The sequence below is a fragment of the Homo sapiens genome, chromosome 2, assembly GCF_000001405.40.
Source record: "Homo sapiens chromosome 2, GRCh38.p14 Primary Assembly".
NCBI lineage: Eukaryota > Metazoa > Chordata > Mammalia > Primates > Hominidae > Homo > Homo sapiens.
Genome location: NC_000002.12, coordinates 158,386,466 through 158,406,538, shown reverse-complemented (window position 1 = coordinate 158,406,538; position 20,073 = coordinate 158,386,466). Strand labels below are relative to the sequence as shown.

The window sequence follows — 20,073 nt, the reverse complement described above, 5'->3', positions numbered from 1 at the left end:
CTACTTTATGCTTCATTGTGAGTAGAGGAATATTAGAGAGAACAAAAGGGCCAGCCTCTCCCCTGTATGTCAAATTATGGCTCAGACCTCACACTAGCCCACAGGACATTTTATTTTGAACTAGAAACATACAGGCCCAGCCCCCCACTAGGACCTGTGGCCTAGCGAGCACCATGTAGTTGGGATATCAGTGCCCATTTCTCTCCATTGCCATCCCTCTGTGTTAACTGTGTTAACCCTGTTAAAAAGAACTGAATTTCTGCTTAGGCTTCAGGCAGCAGAGGGGATGTGGACAGCCTTTGGGTATGTGTAAGGACATTCAGGTCTCTTGCAAGCCAGAGCCCCTACAATATTATCATTCATTTCTAGCATTCCAGCTATCCATGTCAATGTGAATCTGGGTAGGAAGGTTACAGAACAGCAATTTGGGAGAGATGCAGGTGGGGAGATCAAAAAGGAAAGAGGTACTGGTTCAGCAAGCCACACCATGTAGAGCCACCCTGACGATCAATAAGGAGGCAGATGTTTCAGCCAGTCTGCTCTTCCATCCAGAAACTACTTGTAATTTTAATCTTTTCATAAATAATCATAGAAATCATTCCAGAATCATCATATTTGTATTTATACACATACATTTATACATGATTCATATACATTTTTCCTATATTCATGAATGCTAGCCATTCTTTCATATGAGTTACTTTAAACTATTACAATATTCAATGAATGTACTATCCAATAAATGCAATTAATGTCAATAATTCATATTATGTCTACTCTAACAAAATATGAAACATGTAAATTAGGTAAATCATTAACTTATATGAGGAATTTTGAAACCACGATCCAATCTTATTGAACTGTTCTTTAATGTTTAATGCTAATTAACCAAACACTTAACACATTTTATTCACATAAATGATTACGCTAAAAATATTTTACACTTATTTTCAATATTTTCTTTAGCTTTTGCTCTATCTTCTTTTGCAAATTCAGCGAAAATCTGGGTAATAAGATATTGCTGATCAAATGTGATTTGTGTCTATGTCTTTATTTGTATCAGTTTGGATTATCCTCAATTAAGGCTGTTCCATTTCCTTCATTTAGACTTATTGAATGTCACATATTGCCACTAATGAAGCTTATAGTTATAAGAGGTATACAAGCACTATATCTTCCTTTGTATTTAAACCCTGTATTATTGTTTGCAGGTTCAAGATAATCTGTAGGGCTTTTTATTTTCTTAAAATAGGCAATTTAAAAATTCTGTTAATGTTTTCAATATGTAATACTTGATAATGGTTCAAAATTAAAATGTCAGAATGTATACAAGGAGAAGTCTTGTGACTACTCCTTCCCTGTTCCCCTGTTCCTCCTGGCCCTATAAGGAACCATTTTTTGTAGCTTCTTATTAATCATTTCTGTGTTTCTTAATGAAAATAAAACACAAATATATGTTCTTATTTTTCTCCCTTTCTTTCAAAAACAGGTGATGTGTAAAAATTCTGCCCACAACGCCTTTTAACCTTGCTGCTGACTTATTTTTCCAGTTGGTAACTTACTTCTTTGCAAAGAGAATTCATTAAATCATCTATGTATGCATTCACAAGATCTCTATAAAGTTATCAAAATTAACAGGATGATTTTAAATAATTGTTCATTGATTCCACTCTTATAAGTTTTCAGAATGGATTGGTTGATTTGCTGGAAACACAGTGCTTGAGTTAAGGACATCAGAGAGGGAGTCTGGTCCTCCCTAGTGACTGGAATGTTCTGGCGCACTATGCAGGTTACTGCCTTCCTGGCTTGATGATTTGGATAACTGCTGAGCTATTTTTTTCATATTTTAAAAATTAATTTAATTTCTAGCATAAAATCTCTGCTAAAGGCACCACATAGGAAAGTATATACAGATCTCAAAAATGGTTAAGGATGTTTTATGCTCAAAGCAAATTTTAAAAACTTGTAATTTTAAAGTCTTGTAAAAAGTGATGTTTCAAGAGTTTGAACTGTTTAAATTTAGAATGCTGAAGAGGAGTTTGTGATGCTAACAATTATCTCTTGTGTGATCATATCACCAACTAATTACAAAATTGGAAGTTTTTTATTCACTCAAGCGCTTCCTCCTTCTCATTGCTAATATTTCCATTCAGGGTGTCTAGGCATCCTCATTTACTAATATGATTTTGTATTTCATGTTGTGTAGCATTAGAACCTTGCTCCCAGTCCTCAGCATTCCATGATACATGACTATGCTGCACAGACCATGGTTAGGGTGCGCTTCCATCCTTGCCATTATATTGCAAATAGAGCCCCCTTTCAACCTCAGGAGTGCCCTGGATTTGGTGTTAAATTCTGTGGTCAATCTGTGAGATCTGTCAATGATAATAATGGCTTTTATTGAGCATTTGCTCTATACCAGGCACTGTGTTAAGGTCTTTGCCTATATTATTTCTTTTATTACTGCACAGAGCATAACTCTTCCATTAGGCAACTGTATCGGAATGCTATTTTACAAAAGGCAATGGGAGCCAAGAGAGGTTAAGTAATTTACCCAAAGTCAAACAGCTAGTAACTGATAAACTGGGACTTGAATTCAGACTTGTTGTATCTGCACAGTAACTGTTTGTGCCTTTGCTGTTTTATGAGAACAAGTCTGTGGCCACTGAGCCCAAGTTAGGTTGGTAACAACTTGTGGTGCTGGGACAACTGAGTTTCTTTTGATTGCCTTAAATTTATTCAGCCCATTCATCTGTCAACTAAATAAATACATTCTTTTTCTTTTTTAATAAATGACAAGACAAAACAGTGTTTCGTGTTTGCATGTGTTTGTGTGTGTGTGTGTGTGTGTTTGAGACAGGACCAATAATCTTGGCAGCGTTATGGCTTTTTAAATTTTGTACTAAATGCCAATTTAATTGTTTAGTTTGATGGGTGCATTAGGAACAGTGGATCACTGTTTCACTTTGGAAAAGCTGCTCTCTGTCAGGTTTCTGAACCGCTTTATTGTTTAGTTCATATAAAGGTCAGTAGCTCTAAAAATACACACTTTAATGGGTGATGTAATAGACATTTTATATGTGTTGCAGGTACTTTCCCTCAGTGGTTGAAATGAATACCTTTTGTGCCTTCTGGAGAAGGTGTCTGTATGTATGGTGTGGGAATATGTGTGTGTCTGTGTATGTGCACATCTTGTTTGAAAGCCCCAGTCTTACAAACTTACAAACTGTATTCTTCAATCTCTTTCTTATGAAATATCAACATCTACTGTGAATCTATCATATATCATTGGAGTTGACAGACATTTTGACTGTTTAACTTGCAAATACAGGCTTTGGGTCAGAAAAAAAAAAGAAAAAAATATTTGTTGTAGATTCTGTTTGATTTTAAAAAAATGAAATCAATTGATTCAATTTAGCTTGGCAGCCTAACAAGGGACTTCAACTTCTGCATCTTCAGACCTTTCTCAGCTTTTCCCTTGCCCAAGAAACTCTTTCTTTCTTTTTGTTTCTTTTCGTAGCTTGAGGAAATGTTAAGATTTGTTCATTTCAAAACAGATCATTTAAAAATGAAGAAGCCACATTGTTTAATTCACTGGACTGGGAGCCTTAGAGACATGTTCTATTCTCAGCTCTGGAAAATCTCTTAAAACAAAATCACGTGACCTTCAAATAAAGATATTACTCTAGTTTGAAATAGTACACTTTACTTTCTAATCAGCCCTGAAAGCATAGTATTAACTGGAAATACCTTGGCAAAGTTATACTATCTAAATAGGCAAGTTCCAAATCCTGGCAGAGAATATTCCTTTGAGTTACATTTTTCTACAACTTTTAAAAGTCTCTTCTCAACTGTAATCCTTCATTTCCAATAGGATTAATATATCTGTTAAAAGAATGAAGATATTTTGGATGAAATTATTATAAATCCCTTATGGAAGTATACCACATTATAATCCCCAACTGAAGGCTAGAGTAATGGTGATGGAATTAGGCTTACTCTGATCTGTAGCTGGGACTATTGATGATCCCATACCTGACACCTCAGGAAAACTGATCTCTTTAGCTATGCTGGTCCAGGTTTTGATATACCTTTTTTTTTTTTTTGACTACTTTCTCTGTATTTAACAAAGCCAATCTGCATTACGAACAAAGAACAAGCAACACAAACTTCCTTAATCATATAAGGAAAATTATAAAGAAAAAACAAACCAGGAAAGTATGTGGTGAATGATGTGAAATTTCTGAACATAATGCAGTGAACAGTACAAACTATTTGGTTTCTGAAAAATTAAACTCTAGTCCTTACCATTTAACTGATTCTGTACCTTTAAACAATTGATTTAATCTTTTTGTTCTTTACTTTTAAAATAGGAGAATAACACTTCACATGGCTAGTTTACGATCAAATGATAACTATGAAAGTACTTTGTAAAAGACAGATGTTAGTTATAGTGTTGATGATACAAGTCCTGCCTATGGGTATTAGGTACATTAAATACACAACTCAGTTGTTTTTCTTCACTTTGTGGAAGCCCTAAGGAGATAAATTTCAGATTGTGTGCACTCATGCTTCGTGGGATTCTCACTGTCTACATGGCCATCCTTCTCTTCTGGTCTATTCTTTGGTTCTGTAGCTGAGGTCTGGGCTGCTCTGCTCTGGCCACAGTTTGCACTCCATTTCCACTTTGCAACAATTCTGATATGTTCTCCCCGTAATCTCCTTTGCCCTGCCCTCTCCCTTATTCCCAAAGAGAAAGGCTTGTCTTACTTGAGTCAGAATCAACTTGAGGACATTTCCCTTTTCCCTCTGACATTTTCTAGCTTCAAGTCTTTTTATTATTATTATTATACTTTTAAGTTCTAGGGTACGTGAGCACAATGTGCAGGTTTGTTACATAGGTATACATGTGCCATGGTGGTTTGCTGCACCCATCAACTCATATTTACATTAGGTATTTTCTCCTAATGCTATCCCTCTCCAGTCCCCCACCACCCAACAGGCCCAGTGTGTGATGTTCCCCTCCCTGTGTCCATGTGTTCTCATTGTTCAACTTATGAGTGAGAATATGCAGTGTTTGGTTTTCTGTCTTCGTGATATTTTGCTGAGAATAATGGTTTCCAGCTTCATCCATGTCCCTGCAAAGGACATGAACTCATCCTTTTTTATGGCTGCATAGTATTCCATGGTGTATATGTGCCACATTTTCTTTATCCAGTCGATTATTGATGGACATTTGGGTTGGTTCCAAGTCTTTGCTATTGTGAATAGTGCTGCAATAACATACGTGTGCACGTGTCTTTATAGTAGAATGATTTATAATCGTTTGGGTATATACCCAGTAATGGGATTGCTGGGTCAAATGGTATTTCTAGTTCTAAATCCTTCAGGAATCGCCACAGTGTCTTCCACAATGGTTGAATTAATTTACACTCCCACCAACAGTGTAAAAGCGTTCCTATTTCTCCACATCCTCTCCAGCATATGTGGTTTCCTGACTTTTTAATGATTGCCATTCTAACTGGCGTGAGATGATATCTCATTGTGGTTTTAATTTGCATTTCTGTGATGACCAGGGATGATGAGCATATTTTCATATGTCTGTTGGCTACATAAATGTCTTCTTTTGAGAAGTGTCTGTTCATATCCTTTGCCCACTTTTTGATGGGGTTTTTTCTTGTAAATTTGTTTAAGTTCTTTGTAGCTTCTGGATATTAGCCCTTTGTCAGATGAGTAGATTGCAAAAATTTTCTCCCATTCTGTAGGTTGCCTGTTCACTCTGATGATGGTTTCTCTTGCTGTGCAGAAGCTCTTTATTTTAATTAGATCCCATTTGTCAATTTTGGCTTTTGTTGCCATTGCTTTTGGTGTTTTAGTCATGAAGTCTTTCCCCATACCTATGTCCTGAATGGTATTGCCTAGGTTTTCTTCTAGAGTTTTTATGGTTTTAGGTCTAACATTTAAATCTTTAATCCATCTTGAGTTAATTTTTGTATAAGGTGTAAGGAAAGGATCCAGTTTCAGCTTTCTGCATATGGTTAGCCGGTTTTCCCAGCACCATTGATTAAATAGGGATCCTTTCTCCCTTTCTTGTTTTTGTCAGGTTTGTCAAAGATCAGATGGTTGTAGATGTGTGGCATTATTTCTGAGACCTCTGTTCTGTTCCATTGGTCTATATGTCTGTTTTGGTACCAGTACCATGCTGTTTTGGTTACTGTAGCCTTGTAGTATAGTTTGAAGTCAGGTAGCATGATGCCTCCAGCTTCGTTCTTTTTGCTTAGGATTTTCTTGGCTATGTGGGCTCTTTTTTGGTTTCATATGAACTTTGAAGTAGTTTATTCGAATTCTGTGAAGAAAGTCAGTGGTAGCTTGATGGGGATGGCATTGCATCTACAAGTTACCTTGGGTGGTATGGCCATTTTCACGATATTGATTCTTCCTATCCATGGACATGGAATGTTCTTCCGTTTGTTTGTGTCCTTTGTGTCCTCTTTTATTTCCTTGAGCAGTGGTTTGTAGTTCTCCTTGAAGAGGTCCTTCACATCCCTTGTAAGTTGGATTCCTAGGTATTTCATTCTCTTTGTAGTAATTGTGTATAGGAGTTCACTTATGATTTGGCTCTTTGCTTGTATGTTGTGTATAGGAATGCTTGTGATATGATGGGGTTTTGCAAATATACAATCATGTCATCTGCAAACAGAGACAATTTGACTTCCTCTTTTCCTAATCGAATACCCTTTATTTCATTCTCTTGCCTGATTGCCCTGGCCAGAACTTCCAATACTATGTTGAATAGGAGTGGAGAGAGAGGGCATCCTTGTCTTCTGCTGGTTTTCAGAGGGAATGCTTCCTGTTTTTGCCCATTCAGTATGATATTGGCTGTGGGTTTGTCATAAATAGCTCTTATTTTGAGATACATTCCATCAATACCTAGTTTATTGAGAGTTTTTTAGCATGAAAAGCTGTTGAATTTTGTCGAATGCCTTTTCTGCATCTATTGAGATAATCATGTGTTTTTTGTCGTTGGTTCTGTTTATGTGATGGATTACATTTATTGATTTGCATATGTTGAACCAGCCTTGCATCCCAGGGATGAATCTGACTTGATCGTGGTGGATAAGCTTTTTGATGTACTGCTGGATTTGGTTTGCCAGTACTTTATTGAGGATTTTTCCCATTGATATTCATCAGGTATATTGGCCTAATATTCTCTTTTTGTGTGTGTGTCTCTGCCAGGCTTTTGTATAAGGATGATGCTGGCCTCATAAAATGAGTTAGGGAGGATTCCCTCTTTTTCTATCGATTGGAATAGTTTCAGAAGGAATGGTACCAGCTCTCCTTGTACCGCTGGTAGAATTCGGCTGTGAATCCATCTGGTCCTGGACTTTTTTGGTTGGTAGGCTATTAACTATTGCCTCAATTTCAGAACCTGTTATTGGTCTATTCAGAGATTCAACTTCTTCCAGGTTTAGTCTTAGGAGGGTGTATGTGTCCAGGAATTTATCCATTTCTTCTAGATTTTCTAGTTTATTTGCGTAGAGGTGTTTATAGTATTCTCTGATGGTAGTTTGTATTTCTGTGGGATCGGTGGTGATATCCCCTTTATCATTTTTTGTTGTGTCTATTTGATTATTCTCTTTTTTCTTCTTTATTAGTCTTGCTAGTGGTCTATCTATTTTGTTGATCTTTTCAAAAAACCAGCTCCTGGATTCATTGATATTTTTGAAGGGTTTTTTGTGTCTCTGTCTCCTTCACTTCTGCTCTGATCTTAGTTATTTCTTGTCTTCCACTAGCTGTTGAATGTGTTTGCTCTTGCTTCTCTTGTTCTTTTAATTGTGTTGTTATGGTGTCGATTTTAGATCTTTCCTGCTTTCTCTTGGCTTTTAGTGCTATAAATATCCCTCTACCCACTGCTTTAAATGTGTCCCAGAGGTGGTAGTGTGTTATGCCTTTGTTCTCATTGGTTTCAAAGAACATCTTTATTTATGCCTTCATTTTGTTATTTACCCAGTAGTCATTCAGGAACAGGTTGTTCAGTTTCCATGTAGTTGTGTGGTTTTGAGTGAGTTTCTTAATCCTGAGTTCTAATTTGATCGCACTGCATTCTAAGAGACAGCTTGTTGTGATTTCTGTTATTTTACATTTGCTGAGGAGTGTTTTACTTCCAACTATGTGGTCAATTTTAGAATAAGTGTGATGTGGTGCTGAGAAGAATGTATATTCTGTTGATTTGGGATGAATAGTTCTGTAGATGTCTATTAGGTCTGCTTGGTCCAGAGCTGAGTTCAAGTCCTGAATATCCTTGTTAATTTTCTGTCTTGTTGATCTGTCTAATATTGAGAGTGGGGTGTTAAAGTCTCCCATTATTATTGTGTGGGAGGCTAAGTCTCTTTGTAGGTCTCTAAGAACTTGCTTTATGAATCTGGGTGCTCCTGTATTGGGTGTATATATATTTAGGATAGTTAGCTCTTCTTGTTGAATTGTTCCATTTACTATTATGTAATGGCCTTCTTTGTCTCTTTTGATCTTTGTTGGTTTAAAATCTGTTTTATCAGAGACCAGGATTGTAATCCTTGCTTTTCTTGTTTGTTTGTTTGGTGGATCTTCCTTCATCCCTTTATTTTGAGCCTATGTGTGTCTTTGCACGTGAGATGGGTCCCTTGAATACAGCACACTGATGGGTCTTGACTCTTTATCCAATTTGCTAGTCTGTGTCTCTTAATTGGGGGCACCTAGCCCATTTACTTTTAAGGTTAATATTGTTATGTGTGAATTTGATCCTGTCATTATGATGTTAGCTGGTTATTTCACCCATTAGTTGATGCAGTTTCTTCATAGTGTCTATGGTCTTTACAATTTGGCATGTTTTTGCAGTGGCTGGTACCGGTTGTTCCTTTCCATGTTTATGGCTTCCTTCAGGAATACTTGTAAGGCAGGTCTGGTGGTGACAAAAATCTCTCAGCATTTGCTGGTATATAAAGGATTTTATTTCTCCTTCACTTATGAAACTTAGTTTGGCTGGATATGAAATTCTGGGTTGAAAATTCTTTTCTTTAAGGATGTTGAATATTGGCCCCCACTCTCTTCTGGCTTGTAGGGTTTCTGCAGAGAGATCCGCTGTTAGTCTGATAGGCTTCCCTTTGTGGGTAACCCGACGTTTCTCTCTGGCTGCCCTTAACATTTTTTCCTTCATTTCCACCTTGGTGAATCTGAAAATTAGGTGTCTTGGGGTTACTCTTCTCGAGGATTATCTTTGTAGTGTTCTCTGTATTTCCTGAATTTGAATGTTGGCCTGCCTTGTCTAGCTTCAAATCTTTAGAGGTCTTATCCTCCCCATGCCATAGTTCTGTCTCCTGGGTTGGTTTATCTGAAAAATATTTCTTACTGAGATTTTGAGACAGATTCTTGCCTTCTTCACCTGAGCTTAAGTGTGGGTCTGGCTTGCTAGTGGTCTTGCTGCCTGGAGAGTGGGAGTGCTCTCACTTCATTTTGCACCGTACATCCCTGTTCTCAAGGTCAGCAGCAGATAGAAACTGCTCTTTCCCACTTTTGAAAGACTCCATATTCCATAAGAGTTTCCAAATGAATTTCAAGTTCTAGCTTGAGAAAGCAGAAATAAGATTGAGGAAAGCCAATAAGTGTTTTTAACCTTCCCACCTAAGAGTAGTAGTAATTTTGGTAGTGCTACTAGAAGTAATTGTGGTAATAGCAGCAGCAGCAATAATAATAATAGTAGTAGTAGTAGTCATCATCATTGTCTTAGTAGTAGTTAACATTTTTGCCCCTTTTTACAACAAAGTATGATGAAAACTTCTGAACATGCATTATATGATTTAAACCTTCCAATGACCCTGTGAGGTGAGTCTGTCACTATTTCTCTTGTAGAGTTGAAGATGCTGAGGCTCTGCAGGTGAAGCAAATTGCCTGAGTAGTAACATGGAGAATCGGTATTCAAAGCCAGGTTTAATTTCAGAACCTGAGTACACTGTTCCACATTCTGGAATACATTAATTGGCTCTTGGGGCAGAGGCCACTGACTCAAATGCCTATAGGAGCCAGTTCAGAAGTGAAAGTTGGTGGACAGGGCCCAGAATTAGGAAGACAGCAGTGCAAGCTAGATGATAAATGGCAACTGACATTCTTCCTCAGTGTTGGGGTGCTATGAGGCATGGTGGGGACTGGGGTTGTTGGAGAACATATGTCCTATCTAAAAAAATGACAGCTACTACTAAATCCAGCAGTTGTTCTCATAGAGAAATAAACTTTTTAGTGCAGAAATTTTAAAAAGATGATGAAAACATGGATTTTATATAATATTTCTCAATTATTAAATATTGGCATTAGATGCAAATGAAAAGCTAAACAAAACACTGTGAGGGTTAAAATAATTATGTCTGGGGACCAAGTTGGGCCTGATGTGTTACCTCTCTCAGGGAAAAATTTTGGAACATTCAAACCATGTCAATGAGTGATGACACAATACAATAAGAGATATAATCTTCCGTATTGGCCAGTAGTTGGACTGTCCTTAGCCATTCCATCAACAATTGCTTTACGGAAGACTCTGGGGAAATCCCAGTTTATTAAATGTTGTATAAAGACTGAAAGAAATCACATAAGTAATAATGATTGTATTCTTAAGCCCCTACTATGTGCCAAGCACTTTGTATAGCTATTTTATTTAATTCCCATAACATTCCTGTTAGACATGTGAGGATAGATATTTGAGAGGTCAAAAAATAATAGCAGCAACTTGCCAAAAATGTATAGCTCTAGCAAGGGGCAGTGTGGGGTGTGAATCCAGATGTGCATGATTCCAGAGCCCTTTGTCTTCCTGCTCAGCTCTGCTGCCTTTACAGTGACATATTGCTGTGAAGTTGGCATTATGCTGGATCTCACATAGGCAGGGAAAGGCTGTCCATGTTGTTCAGCATGACTTTCAGTTTCAACAAGGAGATTCCTCTAATCAAAATTATCTTTGTACACTACCAGAAATTATTCCCTTTCACATTATCACTCAGGCTGAAATTTGAGCCTTTACAGATTCTTTAGTTTTAACAAGCATACTCCTGTGTAGGTGCCTGCTCAAGCAGTCTTTCCTTCATTCACTTGTTAACATGAAGTTAATCAGATTATATCCTTCAAACAACTAGCTGAGATAATAGGAATTTCCCTGGACAGCAGGGAGGAGGAAGTGGCTCTTCAGAAATATGTGTCATTGATTAGATGGGGTGACTGGGCTGTGGAAGTTGGGATAGGCCCTGTGTACCACGGGCAGGTTTCTGGCTGCTTCAGAAGCAGAAGAGTGGGCACAGAAGTTTGTTAATTATGTTACCTTTTGCCTAGATCTGTCCCCTCAACTAGACAAAACCATATTATTGGCTGGTGTTTTTTATCCTATTATATTTATGGTACAGAAATGTAGCATTTTTTTTGGCTGTGAATTAGATTTTGAATATTTTTTATGTTTCTAAAATAAAACTATTATCTTTAGAAAATTAATGTTCTTTTTTCCTGATTAAGGAACAGACTCTGTCAATAATTAAAGAGAAAACAAAGCTGAAGAAATAATCACAAAATAGCTCTCTCTAAGGGATAGGATTATGGACTTTCAATGTATTGTTTGAATTTTTTATAATAAGATAACTCATTTTAGAAGGAGAACAAACAATAGAGTTTTGGCGTTGGAGGAGGGTGAATGAAAAATTTCTTAGTTGTCAGGGTGTAGTCAGAATGAGGTGGGCAAGTTTTACTGCCTGTGAGTTAGCATCTGTGATTACCTCAAGGAGAGAGGCCCTATTGAGGGTATGAGGCTCATGAAAGGGAACAGAGGAGGGGCCGACTCTCCAAGTTTTAGTTGGTCTTTCCTTCTCCCTACTTCTGAAGCCCCAAGGAATGTGGGGTTTCTCCACAGTTTTTTTTTTTCCTTCTGGAAGTGAGAATGAGAATTTGGAAGAATTCAGGGTGATTCAGTACTCAGAATTCCCTGACATCTGTTAAACCTTAGTACTGACTGTTATTTATTAGACAGCTTTGCCCAAAACAGCCCTAAATGTTTACTGTGCCAGCCTTCCTAGAGTTTGCTCATGCCTTCTTGTAACCTGAATCCTACCTCCCAAGTTTTTAGAAGTCTCAGAATAGTTCTATTTTCTTTCCCTTTTTGTTCATTTTAGATATCAGCTATGAAAAATTTTATTCTTTCATTTTGGTTCAGATGCAGCTTGGGATCCTCAACTTATTTCCCTATTTATTTGTCAATGGAAATTATTGCTTTGCCTTACTATAATACACTGTCTCTCTGCAATTTCTGAATTTTCTAGGAGTAGAAGAATATATGCAAATGTTTTGCATATATTAGTGCATAATAACTAAGCTTTACCCTCTGTAAATAAACTCAAAACTGATGGACAGTGGTTGTAAGTGGAATGAGTCAGGTGATAATGACTTATCCATTTGAACCTTAAACATACCTCTTTGGTCAGTCCTCAGAGTCCCTTACTGGTATTGAAGAGTAAGAGATCTACAAAGAAGAATATTAGGATCTAGGAACTCGGAAGGCTCTTTGGTCATTAAAGGCAAAATGACAATCACATCCTTTAAAATCAAATTTGTTATATAATTATTCCATTTGTCTATCCCACAGATATCTGGTATAAGGAAAGGCTTTTATGGGTGAAACTGTTCTATTTTTTGTGATACTGTTGGAGAAAAGACCCATTTATTTAGTTCCCAAGAAAGGTTATCTATAGCAATGTCTTTTAATATGACATGTTCCTCAATGATTTCTCTTTAAAAATCCATCCACCTCTGTGATCTGCTCTCTTGTCAGCTCATCTATTTAATTTTGGCTGCCCTTTTCAAAATTGAAGCCATCGGTGTTCTTGGCATCAGCAGATTTCTGTCAATCCTCTTTTTATCAGTTTTTTTCTCTGTCTGTATCTGAGTCTGCCCACTTGGCCCCCTAACCTGTAGCTACACAGAATTGCTTGCTTGTACTACTTCAAACATATCCCACCCTTGTGGCCCCATCACTCAAATATCTGTGTTTTCTAAGGCCTTCCCTTTCCCTATAATTGATGAAAGCCCCCTGCTATTAAAGACTCACCTTATACATCACCTGTCCTATCTTTCTCCACCTTGGCCCTCCATCCTAAGCAAAATTAGGCTATCTGCCTTTTGTGCTCCAGTAGCATAGCTACGATATCATGATCTCTGCCTCACTCCACAGACCAGAGTTCCTTCATGTAGAGTACAAGATGATCCAGGCAGCATTCGACCTATTTTTATTGATTTGAAATCTAAGGCAATATGGTAAGCTTTTCTAATGTTTCATGTATACATCCATCCTGGCACCTTCACTCAGTTCCCCTATTATTCCAGGTTTGCTCTCACACATTTGCTTATATTCAGCATATTATGAAATGTTATAGTTATTTTTATCTGGTTTTAAGAGGATTTACAGATTATGTTAACTTTTTTTTTTAAACTAAAACTACCTTCACAAGATGGACAAGTATCTTAAATATATTCCTACAGAAACACCCTGACTTGTAGATAATACTTGTAATGTAAGCACACAAATGACAGGAAAAAGCCAGAGCTGACTCCTCTATACTGCTACAAACACTGTCAGCAATAGCATGGCATGTGGTTGTGTGCAGTCGTATGCAATGTCTCTGACATCAGGCCCATCACAGTAACAACAACAGTAGCAATCCAGTAACATCTTATAGAAGATTTAAAATGACTCAGATAATTTAAAATATAGATTTATATCTGTGTTTCACTATTGCTGTCTAGTAACATTATCTTAAGGGTTTATTTTGCCCTGAGAGAGTAGATGAAAGTAATATAGTAATACAAATAATTTATATAGTATATAGTAATGCAAATAATTTATGATAATTGTAATAGTTTACAAATATAGGTTTAGTATCCTTTATCCAAAATGCTTGGGACCAGAAGTGTTCTGGATTTGGGATTTTGGAATGTTTGCATTATGCTTACCAGTTGAACATCTCAAATCCAAAAATCTAAAATCTGAAATACTCCTCCAGTGGACATTTTTTTGAATATCATATTGGTGCTCAAAAGTTTCAAATTTTGGAGCATTTTGGATTTTGGGATTTGGGATGCTCAACCTGTAATAAATATTCATTATTGACAGAACATGCTGAAAAGTGCATTAGTAGGCATATGTAATAAAAAAGTTACAGACCACTACTATGAATTTAGAGATGAATGCCCAGAGCTGTTGCAGAATAGAGACTGTATTGTTTTCATCTTTGTAGCTCAAGCGCCTAGCACAATGACTGGACCATATTATATGCTCAGTAAATATTGAATGAGTGAATAAATCAATAGAAGAATGAATATAGGATGGGGAGTGTTATAATCTCAAACTAGAGGTGAGAAACCAAGATGAAAGAACCTGATGACTCAGATGCAGGAAGTGGATTTATGTCTGAGTATGCAATGAAATTATGACCCTTCTGCAGCGTGAATTTATCTGGTGAAGTCATCACTTTCTGTCTCATGGGGAAAGGGAGATACTGCCAGTTGGGGAGAATCTGGGACTGTTCTCCTTTTGATTTCACCCTAAAACTGCCTCCTCTTTTTCAGATCCTCCTCCAGGTCTCATCCCCTCACACCACCACTTGTGCCCCTGTTACCAAGGAACCTTTATTGCCTGATATGCTCACCTGAATTACTGAGTGATTTTGCTTATGTCTGTGTAATCACAGTCCCAAAGCTATTTTCTGATAAATGATTACAACTTTACTTACACAATTCTGCAAGCCCATGCCTCATCCTTCAGTATAAGTGAAAAGAATCTAATTCATGTCATGATATTGCAACAAAAATTTCACCTTAGGCCTCAATTGTTTTACTATTTAAGAATTACTTATCCTTGGATGTTGTGGGTTCCTAATAGAGGGATCTGTTAATTATTTTTATTCTTAAATAATAATAAGTGCTGAGGCAAGCAATATGGACTAGCAATATACTTGTGTTTTCAGAAATAAGGAAAGATCATTTTTCTAATATTTTAATAGAGCAAAACAATTTCAGCAACTAGTAGTATAAAGTCTCATTACTTGGGTAGCAAATGTTTAATTCATCTGTGTCATCTTGGTTAAATGTTCTCTAAAATTTTATGATAGTTATAAGCTTAGCTTGTATGGTTTAGGAGTAGTAATATAGGCAATTCACAAGTAATATTGACCTTTTAATTAAATGTTCATGATAAATATAGAATATCCATTTTGAGCACAAATATTTTTTATTACATTATTGGGAAAGAGTTGCAGCCATCAATAGTAAATGGAGCTTGCCCTTCTGTAATTCACGGTTCATCATCACAAGAGGCCACTAGACAGTAAGCACCATGAAAGCAGGAAACATATCCTTTCACTCACTGTTGTAGCCTCCATGCATAGTAGAGTGTCTAGAATGTAATAAGAATACAACAAATATTTTGTCAAATGAATGAATGAAGTATGTGTATGTTCACCCCTGGCACCAGCCATGTATTACACCTTTGCCTGCCCATAAAGATAAGTCTCAAATAACAGCTATTGTATAGGGCAGTGGTTTTCAGTCTCTGACCTGGGGAACCTTGGTGCTCTGTGGAGATGCTGAGTGGTTCTGCCAATAGCAAATTGCTTTCTGTCAAACCTTTACACTGCTGGAGTGTTATTTGTCAGGATTCTTAGTTACAATGCAATCTACCTTAAGAAAAAAAAGACTTCTTGGCTAGAAATGCCGAAAAAGGTAGCGCAAAAGACACCAAGGAAAGGCTAGAATGCAGCCTGGTCTCAGAATAAACATCACCTTCATCTCTCAGCATGTTGGCTTCATGCTCACTGCAGACCTGTTTTTTCAGTGGGAAACATAGCTTATGACAGCTGTTAAGCTTTGGTATGTCTTAGATCTCTAGTCACTGGGTAAAGACTGACTTCAGGCTTTCTTTGGCCTCAAGTTTAAAATTTTGGAGAAGGAATTTTGTTTATAAGAGTTTGGCTATTTAAAACGAGTTTCAGAAATTTCTGCTGCAACAGTTAATTTGCAGCCCCACCACTCTTTTTTGACTTTCCCACTTTTATTCCCATCTGTTCTTTCTCAGCATCATTTCCTTAATTCCAAACTTGGACTCTTGGCCCAGTCTTTCTCACTTCTTAACTCTCTTCCTGGCCTATTTGGCCTTTAGCTTTCCTGTTCTTTGTGTCTTGGTATGTCGTTTGGTCCTTCTATCCCTTTGTCTTGACTGAAGACTGGTTTCTCAGAGAATCCCCTTCCAGCTTTTTGCCTGGGAGGAATTGAGCCATATAATATGTAAGTTTCAAGATTATATAAACCATAGCTGTTTTAAGTCTTCCTTGTACTTTCAAATGGTTTTCACTAAAGGACAAAAGGCAGTTATTTTATATCTACTGTAGTCCTAAGCAGCATATAGGGTAGAAGTTCTTAAAATAACTTCTTTTGTAAAGTGGGACACCTTCAGTCATTAGACTAGAATTTTCTCTGATACAAGTGCTAAGAAATGACCTTGATCAGTAAAAAGGTACATACATATTGAAGCATGGGAATTACCAATATAATCTTTCTTTTCTGTTTCTGGAAAGGCAATTAAGGCTTCTACTCCTACAGCAGCCAGTGCAAAGCCTGTCCTGAGTCAGATTTGACAATAGCATTTTAAAATGACCAAAGGAAGTGTAAGCCTAATTTAGAGCAGGACATTTCATCTGCACTACTCCACTTAAACTTTTGTGCTGAATTTTTTAAATGTGCAAAAGTTGTCTTGGAAATACATTTTGAATCATGAGAAAATAATTACAAGTAAAGTCAGAGCAGGATGAATTCTAGTCAAAGAAGACATCTTTACAAATAAATAGGTAATGTTGTGGTCCTACAGAGCATTTTTCACTTAGCTCTATGGTGAAATGATTTTAAAATGAAGAAAGATGAAGTTTTACTTTAATTAGTTTGTGACGACATGGATAAGTGCTTTTGAAAGAATAATTATCTGGCCCTTCTTTTAAGAGAATGTGAACTGAGAATTGAAATTGATCTGGGATCAGCCCAATTAACTTTATCACAGTTTTGTCATGTTTTGCAGTAAATTAGCATGAATTCTGTCATACATAAACTTCATTTGATTTTGTTTTGTTTCTTTTTCATTCTTGTTTTGTGTTTTGTTTATTTAAAATAGTTGAAAGGAGTCCTGGTTAAAACCAAATTCATTGAAGGACTATTTGGTCTTTTTATATATTTCCTCAAGTCGTAGAGAGAATGAAAAATATATTATGTTATACAAACGTGTTTCTCATATTGGGGACCACCAACATATGCTGTGAGATTTTTAAGTTCTCTATGAGAATTTAAATACTTTGTGTTATTTCAAACGTAATTTTTAAGGAAGAGTATGTGTAGTTTAAATCCATCCATACAATATTGATGCCTATTTTTGTGTCCGTGGATTTATGACATTAGTGCCAAGAGTTACCTTTGTGACAGTGTCTACATTTTAATATATTGTTTCTCAAATCAGGCTCTAAGAATCACAGAATCTCTGGACATGTTTTCAGGCATCTGCAACTACCTTTGTAACAACATTAATAACTAATATTTTCAGATGATATTTTTGACACCAGATGTCTTCTAAGAAGTTTTTATGTATTATCTGCTATAATCCTCACAACTCTAGAAAGTATTACTATTTTCTTCATTTTAAACATAGAAAGAGGCCAGTGTGGTGGCTCACACCTGTAATCCCAGCACTTTGGGAAGCCCAGGCAGGTCGATCACCTGAGGTCAGGAGTTCGAGCCCAGCCTGGCCAACATGGTGAAACCCTGTCTCTACTAAAAATACAAAAATTATCCGAGCATTGTGGCGGGCACCAGTAGTCCCAGCTACTTGGGAGGCTGGGGCAGGAGAATCGCTTGAACTCAGGAGGTGGAGGTTGCAGTGAGCCAAGATTGCACCATTGCACTCCAGCCTGGGTGACAAGAGTGAAGCTCCGTCTCAAAATAAATAAATAGATAAAATAAAAATAAAGATAGAAAAACATAAACACAAAGAAGCTAAGGAACTTGCCAAGGGTGTTAGAGCTGGGTTTGGAATCCCACACTCTAGCTCCAGAGTTCATGCTCTTGAGTACTGTGACCCTTTCCTCCCTGGTGGGGATAATGGGTACTGTTCCCTGCCCTTGTCATTGGTTACCCATAATTATGAGCACTTAAAAAGTAACTGATTTCATTAATTTGATGAATATGGGTTTCAATTTCTTGGAATAACAAGACTTCAGAAAATACTGACTGGCTTCTTTTCTAAGGGTATGACTACTTATAGAAGGAATTAATTTGTGTATCAAACATTTTTAGAGTTACCAATAGAAAACTGTTAAGCCATAATAGCAACAAATTAGAGAATTTCTGTTGATGTGCATTATCCATATAGGAAGAAAACAATGTTTCCTCTACCCAGTTTCCTTCTCTTCTTTGTCCCTTCCTGAACTTTCAGTCCTAAATCCTTATAAGGAGCAGAACAGTGCTGGTCTCTACACTGGAACTGGGAGGGAACTGCAGTGGCCCAAACTATGGTGTTGGAGCCCAAAAAGGGGAAAGGAGGGCATTTGTTTAGGAAGGCTGACCTTCACTGGGTCAGAGACCAATGCGGGTAAGGACCACATTTATGTGTAAGGGCGGCCTGATATGGGTGTCAGAGCACAAGCAAGGTGGGGGTGGAAGAGGTACCATGAATGGGTGACTAGTGCACTGTGTCAGTGCCCAAGCAGAGTGAGAAGAACATCATCATGGAGGGACAGCCTGACATGGGGTTTTGAAACTCAACTGGAGTGGAAAGCAGGCTCACGCAATGGGGTGGGGGGCAGAATGGGGAGTCAGAGTGAGGAAGAAGTATATTTGGAAGGGTAGAATCTGCCATGGAATATTGTAGCTCATGTGAGTGAAGGCAGGGGAGCACTGACTGTGGGCTGTTGGGACCCAAATGGGATAAGGGAGGCATCTGTGTAGAAGAGAGGTGGTATTATAGATGAGGGATGAGATTTTATATAGGGAGTTGATCAAATAAAAGATAAAAAGTTAACGGCAGCTGGACTTCTCACTGTTGGAGAAAGAAGTTACAAATATAGGAGAGGAGAAAACTATAATGAACCCTACACTGTTGTATTGCAGTTGGAGATATCAGTGTATATTCATAGATATAGATATAGATATAGATATAGATAATGATATAAATGTGTGGGCCTGTGTTTTCTAGCTTTGCCTACTGGGTGAGCCTAGAAGTAGTGACATCTCAGTGGCCATGAACACATCTAGTGCCCAAAGCTTGCCTTCTAATGCCATTCTCCAAGGAACCAGAGCTCCTTGGAAAAATATTTGATCTAGACTGTGACGAGCAAAGACCCAGAAGAGGCTGGAAAATTATGTTGTGACAGAAAGAAAGGAAACATTCAAAGAAAGGTTTCAAAAGAACACAGAACTCCACAACCATATATGTATTTTTTATAGTCCCATTTTTGTCCCTGCAAAGACACTTGTTATGTGGCTGGAATGTAACCATGAGTTTGAATTGCTTGCCAGAGATTCACTGGCAAAAACTAGAACAAGAATAGGGCAGATTGTTGGAGCTAGAAATGAGTGGTAATGAAAGGTGAATGAAGGTGAATGCAGATTGAATTGTTCTGTGCATATGAGGGGAGGTAGAATATGTGGGAAGGAGTATGGGAAGGATGAGGGGAAAATCCCTGAAGGAGAAATGGGCAATTTGGTGACTTCAGGGGCCCTAGGTATTGATTTTTTTAAAAATCAAGAATTGTGTCAGAGAATAGTATGAGGTAGACAAAACTAGCTTGGTTGTTGAATTTATGGAAAGATGATAGTTCCAAAGATCATGGAGTTTGGAGCATCTCTCTTTGGGTTGAGATGATGGGAAAAAAATTATTCAAGCTGAACTTGTGGTACATCTGTTAATTTGAAATTTAAGTTGTGGGAGACTACAGCTGAAAAAAATGTGTAGGAGAAAAATTAATCTGCATTGCAACCACATTG

At 37.3% G+C, this 20,073-nt stretch overlaps 1 protein-coding gene across 3 annotated transcripts in view, besides 1 other annotated feature; it reads left to right on the top strand.

Annotated features, from left to right (window-relative positions):
• Positions 1-20,073, top strand: part of CCDC148 (coiled-coil domain containing 148) — a 285,681-nt gene that overhangs the window by 50,215 nt on the left and 215,393 nt on the right. The window lies entirely within an intron of this gene.
• Positions 11,179-11,332: a silencer, noted in NCBI's record as "fragment chr2:159251719-159251872 (GRCh37/hg19 assembly coordinates)". NCBI's record gives its function as "represses an EF-1alpha promoter that drives an FKBP-Casp9 reporter gene in an ReSE screen in K562 erythroleukemia cells {active_cell/tissue: K562}" and the evidence as "EXISTENCE:reporter gene assay evidence [ECO:0000049][PMID:32094911]".